Raw genomic sequence first — 16,498 nt, 5'->3', positions numbered from 1 at the left:
ATATGGGGATTAGATGAGGTTATGTCCAGCATGATGCCTGCTACATACTAAGCACTCAGTACATGTGAAATGCTATTATTTTGAAAAACTACTTTTTCAAAGGAAAAAATTCAGGACCACGTAAATACAAGGAAAACATTGTTTAAAGATATTGCAGTTTTTGTTTTTTTTTGTTTTTTGTTTTGTTTTGTTTTGTTTTTGAGACAGAGTCTAACTCTGTCACCCAGAGCTGGAGTGCAGTGGCGCGATCTCGGCTCACTGCAACCTCCGCCTCCTGGGTTCAAGCAATTCTTCTGCCTCAGCCTCCCAAGTAGCTGGGATTACAGGTGTCTGCCACTACACCTGGCTAATTTTTTTGTATTTTTAGTAGAGACAGGGTTTCACCAGGCTGGTCTCGAACTCCTGACCTCGCACAGCTCAGATTTACCAGCTCCCCCTATCCCCTTTGTGTGCCTGCCACAGCCTGCACACCCACCCAACTCCAGTATTTCCAGACCTTCATTGGCACTGAACCTCCAAACAGTCACTCTGGTTTTCCTAATTAACAATAAGTAAGCCGGGCGTGGTGGCTCAAGCCTGTAATCCCAGCACTTTGGGAGGCCGAGGTGGGCAGATTACCTGAGGTCGGGAGTTCGAGACCAGCCTGACCAACATGGAGAAACCCTGTCTCTACTGAAAATACAAAATTAGCCGGGCATTGTGGCGGGTGCCTGTAATCCCAGCTACTCAGGAGGCTGAGGCAGGAGAATTGCTTAAACCCGGGAGGCGGAGGTTGCAGTGAGCTGAGATCGCGCCTTGCACTCCAGCCTGGGCAACAAGAGCGAAACTCCGTCTCAAAAAAAAAACAAAACAAAAAACAGTAAGTAAATCTTTACTCTTGGACCCACCTGTATTGTATCAAAAGTGTGCCTGTGTTTCTGTATAGTCAGGGGTTGAACTGGATTTTTAGTTAGGTGGGTACACATTTGTGCAGGGAGGATTCTCCAAGGTCATTTGTTTCACAGGCTTGTTCTGAGGGCTGAATGTGGAGTGCGTATCCTGCTGTCAGTTGCTCAGTAGATGGGCTCTGCAATTATACACTGAGTCCCTTTCCCTGTCTTGGCATTAGAACTGTGCTTCAGTACTGCCGATAGTCTGCCCTGCTTGTTAATGTATTCAGAGGAGGATTTGAGTCACTTATCGATATGGACAGGTCTCCACTAAGCCAAACCCCAACGCAGCCAAGGCTGCGAGACAGCTCCCTCAGATAGCGGCCGCCGCCTCCTCGGCCTCCTGCTCCTCCAGTGTATCAAAGCATGCTGGATATGACCAGGAGGCCAAGCGAAACCTGTCTGTGTTTGGCCTCTCTGACGGGCTATCTGTCCCCAGCCCTGTATGAGAGCTGGACTCGCTGTGGTGGTTTGGGATTGTCATTTGTTCTCATGCCTGTGGTACACTGTGGCTTTGGGTCTACCACAACTGTCTTTCATGGATGTGGGTTCCTCCCACAGGTTGGGATTGCCCTGAAGCCCTTCCTGCCCCAGCTGCAGACCACTTTCACCAAAGCCCTGCAGGACTCCAACCGGGGGGTGCGCCTGAAGGCCGCAGATGCTCTGGGGAAGCTCATTTCCATCCACATTAAGGTGGACCCCCTCTTCACAGAGCTGCTCAATGGCATCCGCGCCATGGAGGACCCAGGTGTCAGGTACGGCGCTGGCAAGGGAGCACTGTGGCCTCCAGGAGGCCAGGGGTTGCTGTGGGCCGAGCCTGCGCTGGCAGGAGGGGTGGTGGTGGAGGCACCCAGGGCTTAAGGCGGTGCATTGCTTCTGCAGGGACACCATGCTGCAGGCCCTGAGGTTTGTGATTCAGGGAGCAGGGGCCAAAGTGGATGCCGTCATCCGGAAAAACATCGTCTCACTCCTGCTGAGCATGCTGGGACACGATGAGGTACGGCTGCAGGCAGGACTAGTGGCAGCACTGGACCACTGGTTTCCCTCCTCCTCCTTAGGTTGAGTTCTTCACTTTGTGTTAGAACCAGTACAGCTCAGTAGTAATAAGCATTCCTGACATTTCTATCACCCTGTATGCTTCACCAACATTTCCTCGGGTTTCAAGGGAAACGGGGCAGGTATTGTGGATATATTGGTTATTTCCGTTTGTTTGTTTGTTTTTTGGCTGAGTCTTGCTGTGTCACCCAGGCCGGAGTGAAGTGGCACAATCTCGGCTCACTGCAGCCTCCGCCTCCTATCAAGCGATTCTCCTGCCTCGGTCTCCCGAGTAGCTGGGATTACAGGTGTCCGCCACCATACCCAGCTAATACTTGTACTTTTAGTAGAGATAGGGTTTCACCATGTTGGTCAGTCTGGTCTCAAACTCCTGACCTCAGGTGATCCACCCGCCTCGGGCTCCGAAAGTGCTGGGATTAACAGGCATGAGCCACCGCGCCCGGCCGGTTATTTCTATTTTATAGATGAGGCAAGTAAGCTTTGTAGAGACCCAGACCTCTCACCTATTTGCTCTCTGATCTTAAAGAAGTCACTTTCTCTGTCTGCCTCTCATTTCCACTTTTGTAAAATGAAGAGGTTTATTTATTGTTTTGTGAAACATTTGCCGAGCTAAAGGGCCTATCCCAGAGGTGCATAGACCTCGTGGTCACAGACCTCAAGAAACTTAGTGTGTAGTGGGATAAATGGTCTCCAGGGTGTGTCCCGGTGGCAAGTCTTAGAGGTCTATTTTCGAGGGTGAGACTTGTCTGGGCCATACCCAGCAAGTAGTAGAGTCCAAACCAGAAGCCCTGGACTCCTGGTTCTGTCCCAGTTCCATCAGCCTCACCTAGTCTGGAAGCATCTGTCAAATATTTGGCTGCGAGCACTGTGGGGCCAGTAGGGAGTTGAGTCTATGGAGAAGAGTTTTCTGTTCCCTTTTCAGACAGCCCTCTGTTGTGGTCTAATTTACTTTGTAGGGCCAATCTAGGAGGAGAGGGCCTTTGGGCTCACATGGTTTTACACGTCATTGACACACACACACACCCACACACACTCCTCCTGCCCACACCTGCAACACACACACTTGCTGCTGCACTTCCCATGGCTCCAAAGGCCTAGTTCTGGTCCCCAGGCGCCAGCTGTCGGACTCCAGCCCCAGCCTTCTCTGTGGGGACAGACAGGAAAGTCTGCTGTCTTGGTCACAGTCTTTCAGGGCTTCTACAGAGTCATGTGTACAGTGCAAGCAAAAGTTAGTATTGAAACATATTTGCATTTTACCACAGTGCAGCTTAAAATAGATGAAGTTGGAGAGAGTCGGTGTCAGAGCCAGCTTTAGCTTGGCACCTGGGCTTCTGCTTCGAGCTCAGAGGCCCAAACTGCTGGCAGTCCATTCTCTTACCCTCTGAACCTCCACTCAGATTGAAGGTGGCAGTTCAGGGTGCCAGCCTGGCATTAGCTTTTTGGGTTATTGAGTCCCTGGTTGGTGGTTTGTTTTGGGGACATGTTGAGTTGGCACCTGTAATAAGGAACATAACTTAAAATCCTCTCTTGGTATTCCATAGTTAGCTGGCCAGGGAGGAGCACGGAGCCGCTCGCGTACCTGGCTCTGATTTGAACAGGAAGTGCTTGCCTTTCCTTATCTTCCTTGGCTTGATTAGTGGCTTTAGTTTGACTTCCTAGGATGAACCCAAGTAATTTCGGTGGCAGTGGGGCACTCATGCAGTAGGGAGATAGCAGGAGTCATTCTGGCCACAAGATGACACAAACTCTGTGGGAGAAAGGAGCTCAGAGTGGCCGTCTCTAGCCGGCTTCCCTGGTGGCTGGGGGCAGGTGCCTCCCCTCCTGCCCCTCCCGCCCCTCCCTGCCTCACAGGGCTGTTGATAGTAATTGAGATAATAAATATGAAACATTCAGCCTTCCTAAGAAGAAAGATGCTATGTAAATACAGTTATTACTGCTATTACAAGGATGATTACCATATGCATACACACTGGGGTTTTCTATAATTAAGTGAAGTGCTGGCTGTGTAATGTTTAACTCCATACCAGTGGCAGCCCAATCTGGCAGGGGAGCACGAGTGCCTACAGGAAGGACTGGATCTTGAGTCTCTGAGTTGGCTTTTCCACCTTCTTTGTTGCTGTCCATCCTGGGCTCTAGAGCTGCCTGCCTTGGTTCCCACACAGCTGGTGTTGTTCCCTGCACCCCCTCACTCCCTTCTCTTCCCTGTCAGGACAACACTCGCATCTCCTCAGCCGGGTGCCTAGGGGAACTGTGTGCCTTTTTGACTGAAGAGGAGCTTAGTGCCGTTCTACAGCAGTGCTTGCTGGGTAAGTACACTGGAGAGTTCCCCTTCAGGGACCTGGGCCTCTCAGCCCTAGCGAAGAGTCGACGGGCATCTCCCTCCCTCCCTCAGAGGATCTTTTAGCAACTGGACTGTCCTTTCCTTGGGAATCCAGCAGTTAAAGCAAAATCCAGGCCAGGGGTGGTGGCACTCACCTGTAGTCCCAGCTACTCAGGAGGCTGAGGTGGGAGGATCAGTTGAGCCCAAGAGTTGAAGGTTGCAGTGAGCCTTGATCACGCCCCTGCACTCTAGCCTGGGCGACAGAGCGAGGCCCTGTCTCTAAAACAAACAAACAATACTGAATTTGCAGTGGTCCCGTAGCCCTGAGTGTCTCTGCTCAAAGAACACAGCTGTAAGCCCGGAGTGGTTCATGAGCAGGCTTTCCTTACTTTCCTTAATGTGCCACTTTGGGGAGCTTCTGCCAAGATAGCAGGGAGGTCCATGTGAATGTGGCCTGGAGTTTTCCTTGTGCTCTGGGTCAGCACACTGGTCTCCAGCGGGGTGGGCCCATGGGCCTCATGGGTGCTGGGGACATGCTGTAAAATACCGGTTGATCCCAGTCGTGTCCTTCCACCCAGCGGACGTGTCCGGCATTGACTGGATGGTTCGGCACGGGCGGAGCCTGGCACTTTCCGTGGCTGTGAATGTGGCTCCTGGCAGACTTTGTGCCGGCAGATATAGCAGTGATGTTCAGGAAATGATCCTGAGCAGTGCCACGGCGGACAGGGTAAGGCATTCGGGCCATATCCCATAGGCATAGGCCACATCCCATAGGCAGCACCTTGTGGACACAGCGCGGGTGGACCCCAGACTGGGGCTTAAGAAGCTTGGGTCTAATTTTACCTTTGTCAGTAACTTGCTGTGCCCTTGGACCAGCACTTGATCCCTTTGGGCCCCAGTTTCATCATCTAAACAAGGAATTTGGGTTGAAGAATCTAGATGCCCCTTCTGGGTCAGGTCTTGGATCCCTGTTCCTGGGAACCAGTGACTGTACTCATCTGCCTCAGCCGGGGCAGCCTGCCTGAGAGCTGTCATGGTGTAAGGGGTGATGTGGTGGTGATGTAGTGGAGGGTCCTGGAGATTACTAGGAACTGGGGTTTTCCTGGCTCTGGGGAAGGGGTGGGGGGCCTCCCGTCTAGCGCTGTCTGTTCTCCACAGATCCCCATTGCGGTGAGCGGGGTCCGGGGCATGGGCTTTCTCATGAGACACCACATCGAGACAGGCGGAGGGCAGTTGCCGGCCAAACTTTCCAGCCTGTTCGTTAAGGTGAGTGGGGGCCAAGCATGTGTTTAAGCCCTAACACCTGGCTTGTGAGGAGGTCCTAGGATCAGAGACCACCAGCAGTGCGCCCTCAACTAGTTGTGTGCTAGTTCTCCGTGGACGGCCTCCAGGAGATCGCTGAACACTTAGGGATGGAATGTAGGGGGTTTCTGTGTGTGCTTTACACTGCAATAAAGCCTAACTTTTTGTCAGATTCTCAAATTGACCCGTGACTCTGAATCAAGTTAGGAATCGCTATTTTAGGCATTCTTTCTAGGCACCGTAGTTTTGTAAAATTAGATACAGACCTGGGTTCCCATCTTAATACCTCTCTTTTCCCTCCTTCCTCTTCTAGTTGGCCCAGCACTTCTTGGTGTGGTTACTGTGCTATGTGCCAGGCCCTAGTTAGGAAAGCCAAGGAATGTGCCAGCAGGGCTCCTGTGGCCCGTGTGATATGGCGTGCTTCTGAAGCATTACTGTGCACAGAAGTCAGAGCCAGGGTGTATTTTAGTGAGATGGGGCCATGCCTGGTACTCTAACCAGCTCTCAGCAACAGTGTCAGTGGTGCTGTGCATGGACCTTGCCTTGAGTAATGAGGTTCCCAAGAGTGACTGCCTCCCCCCGCAGCACCGGGAACCCACGGAGTTTCTGAGGGGCCTGATTCGATTGAGCCTCGTCTGTGATGACATCAGCCTGCACCCGCTTGTTCACTTGGCATTATCCTGAAGGTGTAGAGATGAACAAGGCAGACAGGATCCCTGGAGCCCATGGGGAGGACCCTGATATAGATAAGATTGGCAGGGGGCACCTCTAAAGGATGACATGGGAGCTGAGACCTGCAGGATGGGAAGGAACTAACCTAGAGAGGATCCGGGGCAAGCACGGCCCAAGCTGTGGGACCAGCCAGGGCAGAGGCCCGAGGCCCTGGGATGTTGGAGGAAGTAAAAACGCATGCGGGCTGAGAGTAGTGAGCAAGGGGAGAGTGGCATGAGATGAGGGTGCAGGAAACCAGGGTCGAGTCATGCTGGGACCCTCCCACAGGAGCAGGGGGGGTCAGTGTTCATGCTGTAGGGAGAGTGTCGAGGCTGGGCATTTGGGCTGCTTCAAGGAATAGATGACATGCCTATCCAAAAGCCTGTTTGTGGTTCTTTTTACAGTGTCTGCAGAACCCATCCAGCGACATCAGGCTGGTGGCTGAGAAGATGATCTGGTGGGCAAATAAGGACCCACTGCCTCCCCTGGACCCCCAGGCCATCAAGCCCATCCTGAAGGCTCTTCTTGACAACACCAAGGATAAGAACACCGTGGTCAGGGCCTACAGCGACCAGGCAATTGTCAACCTCCTCAAGATGCGGCAGGGTGAAGAGGTGTTTCAGGTGGGAGCCTGGGGGGCCTCACCAGGATGTGCTGTGAGCATTTGTCTTTCAGCTCTTCTTCAGCATGGAAATATTTAAACCACAGGCTCTTCTCTGCCACCACGGATGTGCTAGCTTTCAGGAGCAGATTAAGATTTGGGTGACTGGGGCCGGGCGCGGTGGCTCGCGCCTGTAATCCCAGCACTTTGGGAGGCTGAGGCGGGCAGATCACCAAGTCAGGAGATGAAGGCTAACACGGTGAAACCCCGTCTCTACTAAAAATACAAAAAAATTAGCCAGGCGTGGTGGGCGGCTTTGTCCCAGCTACTCAGGAGGCTGAGGCAGGAGAATGGCGTGAACCCAGGAGACGGAGGTTGCAGTGAGCTGAGATCATGCCACTGCACTCCAGCCTGGGCGACAGAGTGAGACTCCGTCTCAAAAAAAAAAAAAAAAAAAAAAGATTTGGGTGACTGGCCCAGTACCTGAAAACATACATTCCCATGGTTTTCAGACTTCTTTCCGAGCAGGGCCCTTTCTTCAAATAAAATCTCACATGACACCCAAACAGACATAGCAGATCCCAGGAGAGCTGCCCAGAGGAAACCCAGAGTTGTGTTCACTCAGTCCCCAGCCCCCAGCAGCCTTGAAAGCCCAAAAGCTGGCCAGCCGCGGTGGCTCACGCCTGTAATCTCAGCACTTTTGGGAGGCCAAGGTGGGCGGATCACCGGAGGTCAGGAGTTCGAGACCAGCCTGACCAACATGGAGAAACCCCGTCTCTACTAAAAATACAAAATTAGCCAGGTGTGGTGGCGCTATGTCTGTAATCTCAGCTACTCGGGAAGCTGAGGCAGGAGAATCGCTTGAACCTGGGAGGCGGAGGTTGTGTTGAGCTGAGATCGTGCCATTGCACTCCAGCATGGGCGACAAGAACGAAACTCCATCTCCAAAAAAAAAAAAAGCCCAAAAGCTGCAACTCCCACTGCCTCGTCTCATGAAAAGCATGATGGGGCCAGGTGCGATGGCTCATGCCTGTAATCCCAATACTTTGGGAAGCCAAGGTGGGAGGATCACTGGAGCCCAGGAATTCAAGATCAGCCGGGCAACATAGGGAGACTCTGTTTCTAAGAAAAAGGGAAAAATAGAAAAGCATGATGAGTGTTTTCATTGGCTTTCCCTGGATCCATCTGATTCCCTTATTTTGCCAGAGTCCACCTCAGTGTCTCTAGTTCTGGGGTTAACATTCATTTTTGTCTTTCTCCAATTGGAGAACGTGGCAGCCGTATGTTCTGACTATGTTTCCTCCTGCTCATCCTTCCCCACAGTCCCTCTCCAAGATCCTGGATGTGGCCAGTTTGGAGGTGCTGAACGAGGTTAACCGAAGGTCCCTGAAGAAGCTGGCCAGCCAGGCCGACTCCACGGAGCAGGTGGACGACACCATCCTGACATGAGAGGCCTGGGCCAGCAGCAGCATTGCCGCTCCACATCTTTGCTCAATGTTTTCATTTTTGAAAATACATTTGTTCCAATGGGGAGCTTGGAAGATGGCGTTCCCAGAAAGTATTTTAATATCAATAGACCACAGCCAAAGCCTTAAATCAAACCCACACACAACTGAAAATTGCCTCCTCCATCTCTCACCTTTTCCTGTGGAGAAGAGAAGGAAAAGCACACGCATGCGCCTCAGCAAATGGCAGCCCAGGAGCTGTTTGTCCAGTTTAGCATGGCTAGGTCTGGAACTATAATAGCAGGGTCAGACTGTGGGTTCCTCTTCTCCTGTGCTTGAGCTCTGGTTTGAGAGCTGGCGCTACCAACCTTTTTCCTATATCCCGAGTGGGGCACAGACGGTGGATCTCTGCCCAGTGTGGTGTGTCTGGCTTGGCTTTTCAATATTGTGAGGTCTGAATGGATCTGACCCCTGTCAGATGAAAATGATTCACAGCTCTGGCAGTTCCCAAGTCTGGGGAGGGGTATAGGTTTGAAAGGCTGTTTGAAAGAGGAATGTTTAATAAAGGCTTTGATTTAATCTTGATATAAACAGATTTTTAAAAATCTCCACCCATTAAACATGAAGCTTCCTGCATCAGGAATAAGGAAAGGTTTGTACCTGTTTTTGTAAGTATTCACAGTTCTCTGATTTCTGGACATATCTCTCTCCTGCTTTCGAAAGTCTTAGCATTCCCTGTAGACGTCTGTCCTGAGGTTGGGTTTTGAGAGGTGTGCAGCCTGGCCTGTGATCTCCCCCAGTGTGGAGAATGCAAAGGTCGAATTAGCCACTTTCCTGTTCTGTTCTGACTTGGAAAGGTAGGGAGCTTCTGGTACTCAGGTTGTAAAGAGAAATCCAGCCCCTCTGTGAATAAGAAAGGGCCACATTCCTATAGTTGAAGGACTTGGAAGAGGAAGCCAAAGTTGCATTTCAGCATCTGCCTCCTTTATGAATGACTTCCTTCCTCCTGATTCTTAGAAGGCTCGTGACACACACATTCTGTCTGATGGAGCACACCCCACTGGGCCTAGTGACGCAAGTTTTTCTGGGCTGCTCCCTGGCCACAATACAGGACAAACCTCTGTCAAAATTACTGGCCTGAGCTGTAAAAGGAAGAGAAAAAGTGGTAGTGGCAAACTCACTTTATAAAAGGTATAAAAATGCTATGCCAAAAAAAGCAAGACTTTGGTTATTAATAATGCAGCCAAGGTGGAAAGTAGGCCTGTGACTCAACACTTCCAATGAATAAGGCAAGGTGACCTCTGAGGCACTTCTCATGAGCCCTATTTTCTTGCAGCAGACATGGTGTCAGCTGGCTTGAGGTAACTGTAGAATCCCAGGGCTGGAAGGGACCTTGAGAGGTCAGCTGAGTCCTTGTAGCCAGAACAGCCAATGGCTACAACTTTTGGTAGCCATGGTAACTGTTCTCTGCCTCTGGAATTCGGATGGTCATCAGCATCCTCCCAACTGCCAAGGGCATGTGTCCATCAGGCTGTCTGCAAATGTGTTCTCCACCACCAGTCAGCTATGGGGAGATACGGGAAAAGTTTCTGTTGAGGGGCATGAGCTGGGAAACCTGTTAAGCTGTGAGACCATCTTCACTGTTTCCTCCAGGGTCTTGGATCAGATGCTGATATCCACCTGTGGCTTTTAGCCCCCCTTCTGCAACTGGGAGGGGAACCTGACGTACTTAGAGGTATCAGACACTCATTAAGCAAAATCCAAAGGAAAAACACCAGATACCAGTTCCAGAAACTGGAGGAGGATGAGCTCTCTGTTCGGAATGGATGGAGCTTGACTGACAGACGGGGATGACTCGAAGGCTCCCAGAGCATATTGAGTTGCATTCTCTGAGTCTGGAAGGAGGGTGTGAGCTCCCAGGAAGTGAGCCATGAAGGGCTGTCATGGACATGCCAGGGGAGCCCACAGAAAGGACCTTGTCACCCCAAAGTCCTAGCAGTCCTGAGAACAGCAGCCCAGACCAAGCACCCTGGGGACATTGAGGTTAGCAGCAGAGAAGCAAAAGCTGTTTGTCCTGGAGGCTGGTAGAGCTGTTTCACCTTGGGCAAGTCATCTGACCTCCCTGGGCCGGTTTCCTCTTATGTACAATGAAGAATTTGGAAGAGAAGCTCTAAAAATTTATTCTCAAAGTTATTCTGTAGGTGGTGGTACTCTCTAGGTTAATGGTACTTACAACAGATGACATTTGCTATCATTTCATTTAGTCCTCTTAACAGTTCTATGAAGCGGGTTCTCAATACTATTTTCTAGAGGAGGAAACTGAGGCACAGAGAGGCCACTCGCCCAGGGTCATATGGCTAGTAAATGGCAGCCTGTCCCCAGACCTCTGTTTTTAGCCTTTCTCTTAACTTCTCCTATGCCGGCTAGTTAGCCATCAGCATTTTTCATTCTTTAGAGCCTCCAGAACTTTTCCATCCAGGTATATACAGGAAATTAGTACGTGTATAGCACACTAAGTGAACAGCTCCAGCCGCCTTGCCCAGGGATGCCACCCCCTCCAGACCCTACCCAGCTGCTCTGCAGGCTGTGGGGAGGAGGACCTCACTCCACTTAACAGGACACTGGCTGGGAAAGTCTTCAGAGAAAGCGGATTATTCTCAAAGACTCGCAGTGATCCTCCAGGGGAGACTGTCCCTCTTTCTCTTCTTGTGTCTGAAAGTCAATGACAAAGTCATATTCCCTTATCCAGAGAAAACTGAAAAAGTTCTAAACTGAGCATTCCCAAACCTTCACCTAACTCTGGGAGCCTCAGGAATCATGGGCAGCAAGATTATTTTTAAAAGGTGGGGGTATTAGGCCGAGGCGGGCGGATCACCTCAGGTCAGGAGCAAGACCAGCCTGGCCAACATGGTGAAACCCTGTCTCTACTAAAAATACAAAAATTAGCCGGGCTTGGTGATGGGTGCCTGTAGTCCCAGCTACTCAGGAGGCTGGGGCAGGAGGCGGAGGTTGCAGTGAGCCAAGATTGTGCTACTGCACTCCAGCCTGGCGACAGAGCGAGACTCCGTCTCAAAAAAAAAAAAAAAAAAAAAAAAAAAGGTGGGGGGGTATTGTTAAAACATGGTTCACGCAACCCTTCAAGGAACCAGACCTTCAGGTACATTCTCTTTGTCCAACACTGTGATGCGGGAGGACTTGGGAGAGTGGCAGGGAGGCTGCAGATTTGACAGTTTTGGGTGCAGGGATTGGAGACATTATTTGACAGATTTTGAAACACAATTGGCAGTTAGGAATGTTTTTCCTCAATGTATGGCTCTGTGGATGTGTCTCAGATTGCTTCAATAAGGAAAAAGAGGAACCAATCTAACTTAAAAGGTCTAAGTTCTAAAATATTGTGAAGGAAATGTAGATACCGCTTTAAAGTTCTAGTGCAGGATAGTGGAGCCACAGGGACTTCCAGGACAGGTTAGAACCTTAATTTCACTGCTTAATACTAAGCTGTGTGATCTAGACCATGTTCCTTAACCTCTCTGAGTGCATCCCCTCACCTTGACAGCGCAGTCTCACCGTGTTGTCATCTGTGTTGAATGACATAATGCACTTTGCACAGAGCCAGGCACACATAGGAGGTTCTGGATACATGGATGGTGACAGTGAAACAAGGATGATGGGGAATGAGATTGATTTTGAGAAATGATGATGATGACTATGTTTGATTCTCCAAAATGCTGAGTGTACATACATCAGCACACAGATGGTCTCCACTGTGCATGGGCAGGAAGGCACATTACCACCACTTAGATCGGTGCTTCCCACCGTCGTGAGAGAGAGAGGCCGGCAGGACGTGGTCTTTATTTTATGAAGAGTAAAGTTGAGGTACAGGTGGCAAGGAGCATCTCTGAGGTCACATTGGCAGAACTGGGAAAAAACCCATATTTCTTGATTCTCCGCTCACCAAGCCCCAGGGGCATTCTACAAAAATAATTTGGAAGGTGAATGTAACAAAAGTGAAACCCACGTTCTTGGCCTGTGACTGGGTTTCACTTTTTAAGAGATGGAGCCCAGTTATTTCACAGGGTGGCTCTGAGTTGCCCCTAGGTTCTGTTAGGAAGGGTCCCTGCTGCCTGCCCCAGGGGAAGGGGAGTGTTGATGTCAACACAGCTCAAGACACTGGAAAAACTGGTCTGAGGGATGATTGCCTCAGAGGGATTTCTAGGTGAGACCTTCCTGATTGTGCCTGAATGGATACCCCAGTCCCTGTCAGGTTCCCTCCTGTGAGCTATTTCTCTAGTGAGATGGCGGCCTGGTCACAGGGACAATTAGTGCATGATAATTCCTCAGGGCTGTGCCCCGCAGTCCCACAAGAGAAAGCTGTGGGTTTTGAATGTATTTACATTAGATCTTTCTTACCACTTGGGTTCCCACAAAAAAGGGAGCTAGGAAGCTGGGGTGCAGGATTCAATCTAGCATTTCGCAAATATTTTGCCCTCAAGACTCCTTATTTATTTACATGCAGGGTACTGCTCTGCCGCCCAGGCTGGAGTGCAATGGTGTGCTCATGGCTCACTGCAGCCTTGAACTCTTGAGCTCAAGTGATCCTCCTGCCTCAGCCTCCTGAGCAGCTAGGACTACAGCCACACACCACCACACCTGCCTAATTTTGTTTGTTTTTGAGATGGAATCTCACTCTGTCGCCCAGGCTGGAGTGCAGTGGCGTGATCTTGGCTCACCGCAGCCTCTGCCTCCCAGGTTCAGGTGATTCTTGTGCCTCAGCCTCCAGAGTAGCTGAGATTACAGGTGCCCGCCACCATGCCCAGCTAATTTTTTTTTTTTTTTGTATTTTTAGTAGAGATGGGGTTTCACCATATCGGTCAGGCTGGTCTTGAACCCCTGACCTCAGGTAATCCACCTACCTTGGCCTCCCAAAGTGCTGGGATTACACGTGTGAGCCATCGTGCCCAGCCTGGCTAATTTTTTAAATTTTTTTTGTAGAGATGAGGGTTTCACTATGTTGCCCAGGCTGGTCTTGAACTCCTGGCCTTGAGCCATCCTCCCTCCTCAGCCTTCCGAAGTGCTGGGATTACAGGTGTTTGTCACTGTGCCCAGCCGGGATCCTTTTATATTTTGAAATTTTTTTGAGGACACCAAAGAGCTCTTGTGTATACCTATCTTACCTATTGATATTTAGCATCTTAGGAGTCAAAACCAGGCTAGGCACAGTGGCTCATGCCTGTAATCCCAACACTTTGGGAGGCTGAGGTGGGAGGATGGCTTGAGGCCAGGAGTTCAAGACCAGCTTGGGCAACATAGTGAGACTGTTGTCTCTACAAAAAATTTAAAAATTAAAAAAAAAAAAAATAGCAGCCAGACGCAGTGGCTCACACCTGTAATCCCAGCACTTTCAGAGGCTGAGGTGGGTAGATCACCTGAGGTCAGGAGTTTGAGACCAGCCTGACCAACATGGCAAAACCCCGTCTCTACTTAAACAACATAAATATTAGCTGGGCATGGTGGCATATACCTGTAATCCCAGCTACTCGGGAGGCTGAGGCAGGAGAATTACTTGAACCCAGGAGGTGGAGGATGCAGTGAGCCGAGATCATGCCACAGCACTCCAGCTCCCACCTGAGTGACAGAGCAAGACTCTGTCTCAAAAGAAAAAAAAAAAGCCAGGCATAGTGGTGTGGTGGTGTGTACACCTGCAGTCCCAGCTACTCAGGAAGCTGAGGTGGGAGGTTCACTTCAGTCCAGGAGGTCAAGGCTGCAGTGAGCCATGATCGTACCACTGCACTCCCAGCTTGGGCAAGAGAGAGACTCAGTCTCAAAAACAAACAACAACAACAAAGCAAAACTGTTCAAGTGGCATTGTTCCACATTTTTTTAGGTTTCTAATGTCTGGATTCGCATGTCAGCTCTGCATTTGGTCTGTTGTATCACATGTCATGTAGGCTCTGGCAAACACTGTACAGTCATAAGCAAATGAAAGTGAAAAAGGCAAATCACATCTTAGTATTGTGAACATGTTTTGACTCTGAAGATCCTTTGAAAAGGTCTTAGGGAGCCCTGCGGGTCCTCAGACTACACTTGCAAAACCACTGATTTAATAATATAAAGGTTGAGTGAGAAAATTCCTGCTAAACGGTTTGGAGTCAGGGGAAGAAGCTGACCCTGAGTTAGACCCCAAGTTTGGCCCACACCCCAAAAAGTGAACTCAAGAGAGGGTTCAACTAATTGTATCTGACATTCTGTCCAACTCTCACACTGTGTGTGTGGCTTCACTTTAATTCAACAGGTATCAAGCACCTACCAGGCACTGGGTCTCCAGAGGATACAGATAAAGAGATGGTCCCTGGAATCATGGAACTTACATTCACTTGATTTCTGGGGGCTACATCAGGGCAGGGCAAGGCCCACTGCCAAGTCTCTTGGTGTGGCATCAGGCTTGCAGGTGTGGGAGAAAGGGCCCGTTTCCACTTCCATCAGAGGGAGACACCAGGCATCATATCATATCCTCTCTTCCTTCCCTCTTGGACCAGTATGCTGAGTGGTCCCCATCTTGCTCCTAATTTAAAGTCCCTGTCGGTCAGTTTACCTGCCTTCTCTGAGTTCTGATTCACCACCCACTGCTTCCTTCCTGGATGATCACAGCACACGTTCCCTCCCTTGCTACCTAGCACTCAGCAGCTTTGAAGTCCATGTTGCTGTCTGAAATAATGGATTTCACAGGTCCCTCCAACCTCCACTGCACTGATCTTCATCCCTGACACTGCTACCCTTGAGGGCCTGAGGTCCCCCTCTCCTTTACCCACTTAGCCTTCTGGTTGGTGACACTTTACTTCCCAAAGCTCTTTGAAGCGCCCTTAGCTCATCTTCCCTCCAAATATTCACTCCTTATTATTTCCTGGCTGCTAATCCTCTGCTTCCACTATCCTGAAAAATACTTCATGAGCCCCACTGCTCTCACCACCAAGCATTGTTTCTCTTGTCATCCACTGCCAAACTTCCTGCCACCTCTGTGGCTCCACTGCCTGCTTCTGCAAACCTCAGCGTGCTCCCTGCTTTACTTTTCTCCTTGGACATACTTGGTGCCTGTATTCTCTATCAGAATATAAGCTCTATGAAAGCTGGGATTTTAAAATTTTACTTACTGCTGAATCCTCAGCTCGTAGATCAATGTCTGGCATAGTAGGCCCTCAAGTATTTGTTGAATGAGTGAATGACTTGTTCCCCACTAAACTGTAAACTCCGTGAGGACAGGAGCTTTGTTTTGTTCATGTTCTAGCCTCTGTGCCCACTACAGTGCCTAACACCTAGTAACTGTGCAAATTTTTTTTTTTTTTTTTTTTTGAGATGGAGTCTCGCTCTGTCACCCAGGCTGGAGTGCAATGATGCGATCTTGGCTCACTGCAACCTCCACCTCCCAGGTTCAAGTGATTCTCCTGCCTCAGCCTCCCGAGTAGCTGGGACTACGGGCGTGTGCCACCACACCCAGCTAATTCTTTTGTATTTTTAGTAGAGATGGGGTTTCACCATGTTAGCCAGGATGGTCTTGATCTTCTGACCTCATGATCCACCCGCCTCGGCCTCCCAAAGTGCTGGGATTACAGGCGTGAGCCACTGCACCCGGCCACTTAATATTTACTGAATTAAGGATGAATCCAGTTACCAGGTAAATTACGTGATTTTTTTTTTTGGAAGCTGCTTTGTCTAGTTTATAAGTTTGCTTATTGTCTTTTGCATCTGTCCCTGCTGTTACCTTACACCCAGGCTTCAGCAATAACCTTTAAAGCTCTGCAGCTGAAATCCATCCTGCACCCTGCCAGATTACTTCACTAAAATATTTTGAGATTGCCTCTTTGCTCAAAAACTTTCAATGCCTCCTCATCGTATTAATAGTTTCTAATGTGCAAACAGGTGGTGTTGCAAAAGTTCATCTGTAAGTTAGCTGTTCAGAGCAGTGGAACAAAGTTTCCCATTACTGGACACACTGATCCTTTAGGTCACACAAGTTTACATATGTATACAGTGAGAAGGAGAAAGAAAGCTTAACATAACTCATCACTGAACTGTAGTTTAAATAAATGTCTAACAATGTTTCCAGAAGAAAATGTGCTGATTCATTTTGAGATGCCAG

The 16,498-nt window shown here is 49.7% G+C and overlaps 1 protein-coding gene across 1 annotated transcript in view, besides 4 other annotated features; it reads left to right on the top strand.

Moving 5' to 3' along the window:
- The window catches only part of GCN1 (GCN1 activator of EIF2AK4), a 67,514-nt gene extending 58,499 nt beyond the window's left edge, over positions 1 to 9,015 (top strand). The window contains exons 52-58 of the mRNA NM_006836.2: positions 1,491 to 1,684; positions 1,812 to 1,926; positions 4,195 to 4,291; positions 4,884 to 5,032; positions 5,464 to 5,571; positions 6,723 to 6,941; positions 8,243 to 9,015. Of these exons, the coding sequence (NP_006827.1) occupies positions 1,491 to 1,684; positions 1,812 to 1,926; positions 4,195 to 4,291; positions 4,884 to 5,032; positions 5,464 to 5,571; positions 6,723 to 6,941; positions 8,243 to 8,368 (1,008 nt within the window). The 3' untranslated portion in view covers positions 8,369 to 9,015. The remainder of the gene's footprint in view (positions 1 to 1,490; positions 1,685 to 1,811; positions 1,927 to 4,194; positions 4,292 to 4,883; positions 5,033 to 5,463; positions 5,572 to 6,722; positions 6,942 to 8,242) is intronic.
- Positions 2,910 to 3,109: an enhancer, noted in NCBI's record as "active region_7131". NCBI's record gives its function as "activates an Ori minimal core promoter by ATAC-STARR-seq in GM12878 lymphoblastoid cells {active_cell/tissue: GM12878}" and the evidence as "EXISTENCE:reporter gene assay evidence [ECO:0000049][PMID:35858748]".
- Positions 3,320 to 3,369: an enhancer, noted in NCBI's record as "active region_7130". NCBI's record gives its function as "activates an Ori minimal core promoter by ATAC-STARR-seq in GM12878 lymphoblastoid cells {active_cell/tissue: GM12878}" and the evidence as "EXISTENCE:reporter gene assay evidence [ECO:0000049][PMID:35858748]".
- Positions 12,209 to 12,348: an enhancer, noted in NCBI's record as "active region_7129". NCBI's record gives its function as "activates an Ori minimal core promoter by ATAC-STARR-seq in GM12878 lymphoblastoid cells {active_cell/tissue: GM12878}" and the evidence as "EXISTENCE:reporter gene assay evidence [ECO:0000049][PMID:35858748]".
- Positions 16,221 to 16,280: an enhancer, noted in NCBI's record as "active region_7128". NCBI's record gives its function as "activates an Ori minimal core promoter by ATAC-STARR-seq in GM12878 lymphoblastoid cells {active_cell/tissue: GM12878}" and the evidence as "EXISTENCE:reporter gene assay evidence [ECO:0000049][PMID:35858748]".

This window comes from Homo sapiens, chromosome 12 (assembly GCF_000001405.40).
Source record: "Homo sapiens chromosome 12, GRCh38.p14 Primary Assembly".
NCBI classification, from domain to species: Eukaryota; Metazoa; Chordata; class Mammalia; order Primates; family Hominidae; genus Homo; species Homo sapiens.
This window is presented reverse-complemented; position numbering and strand designations above follow the sequence as displayed.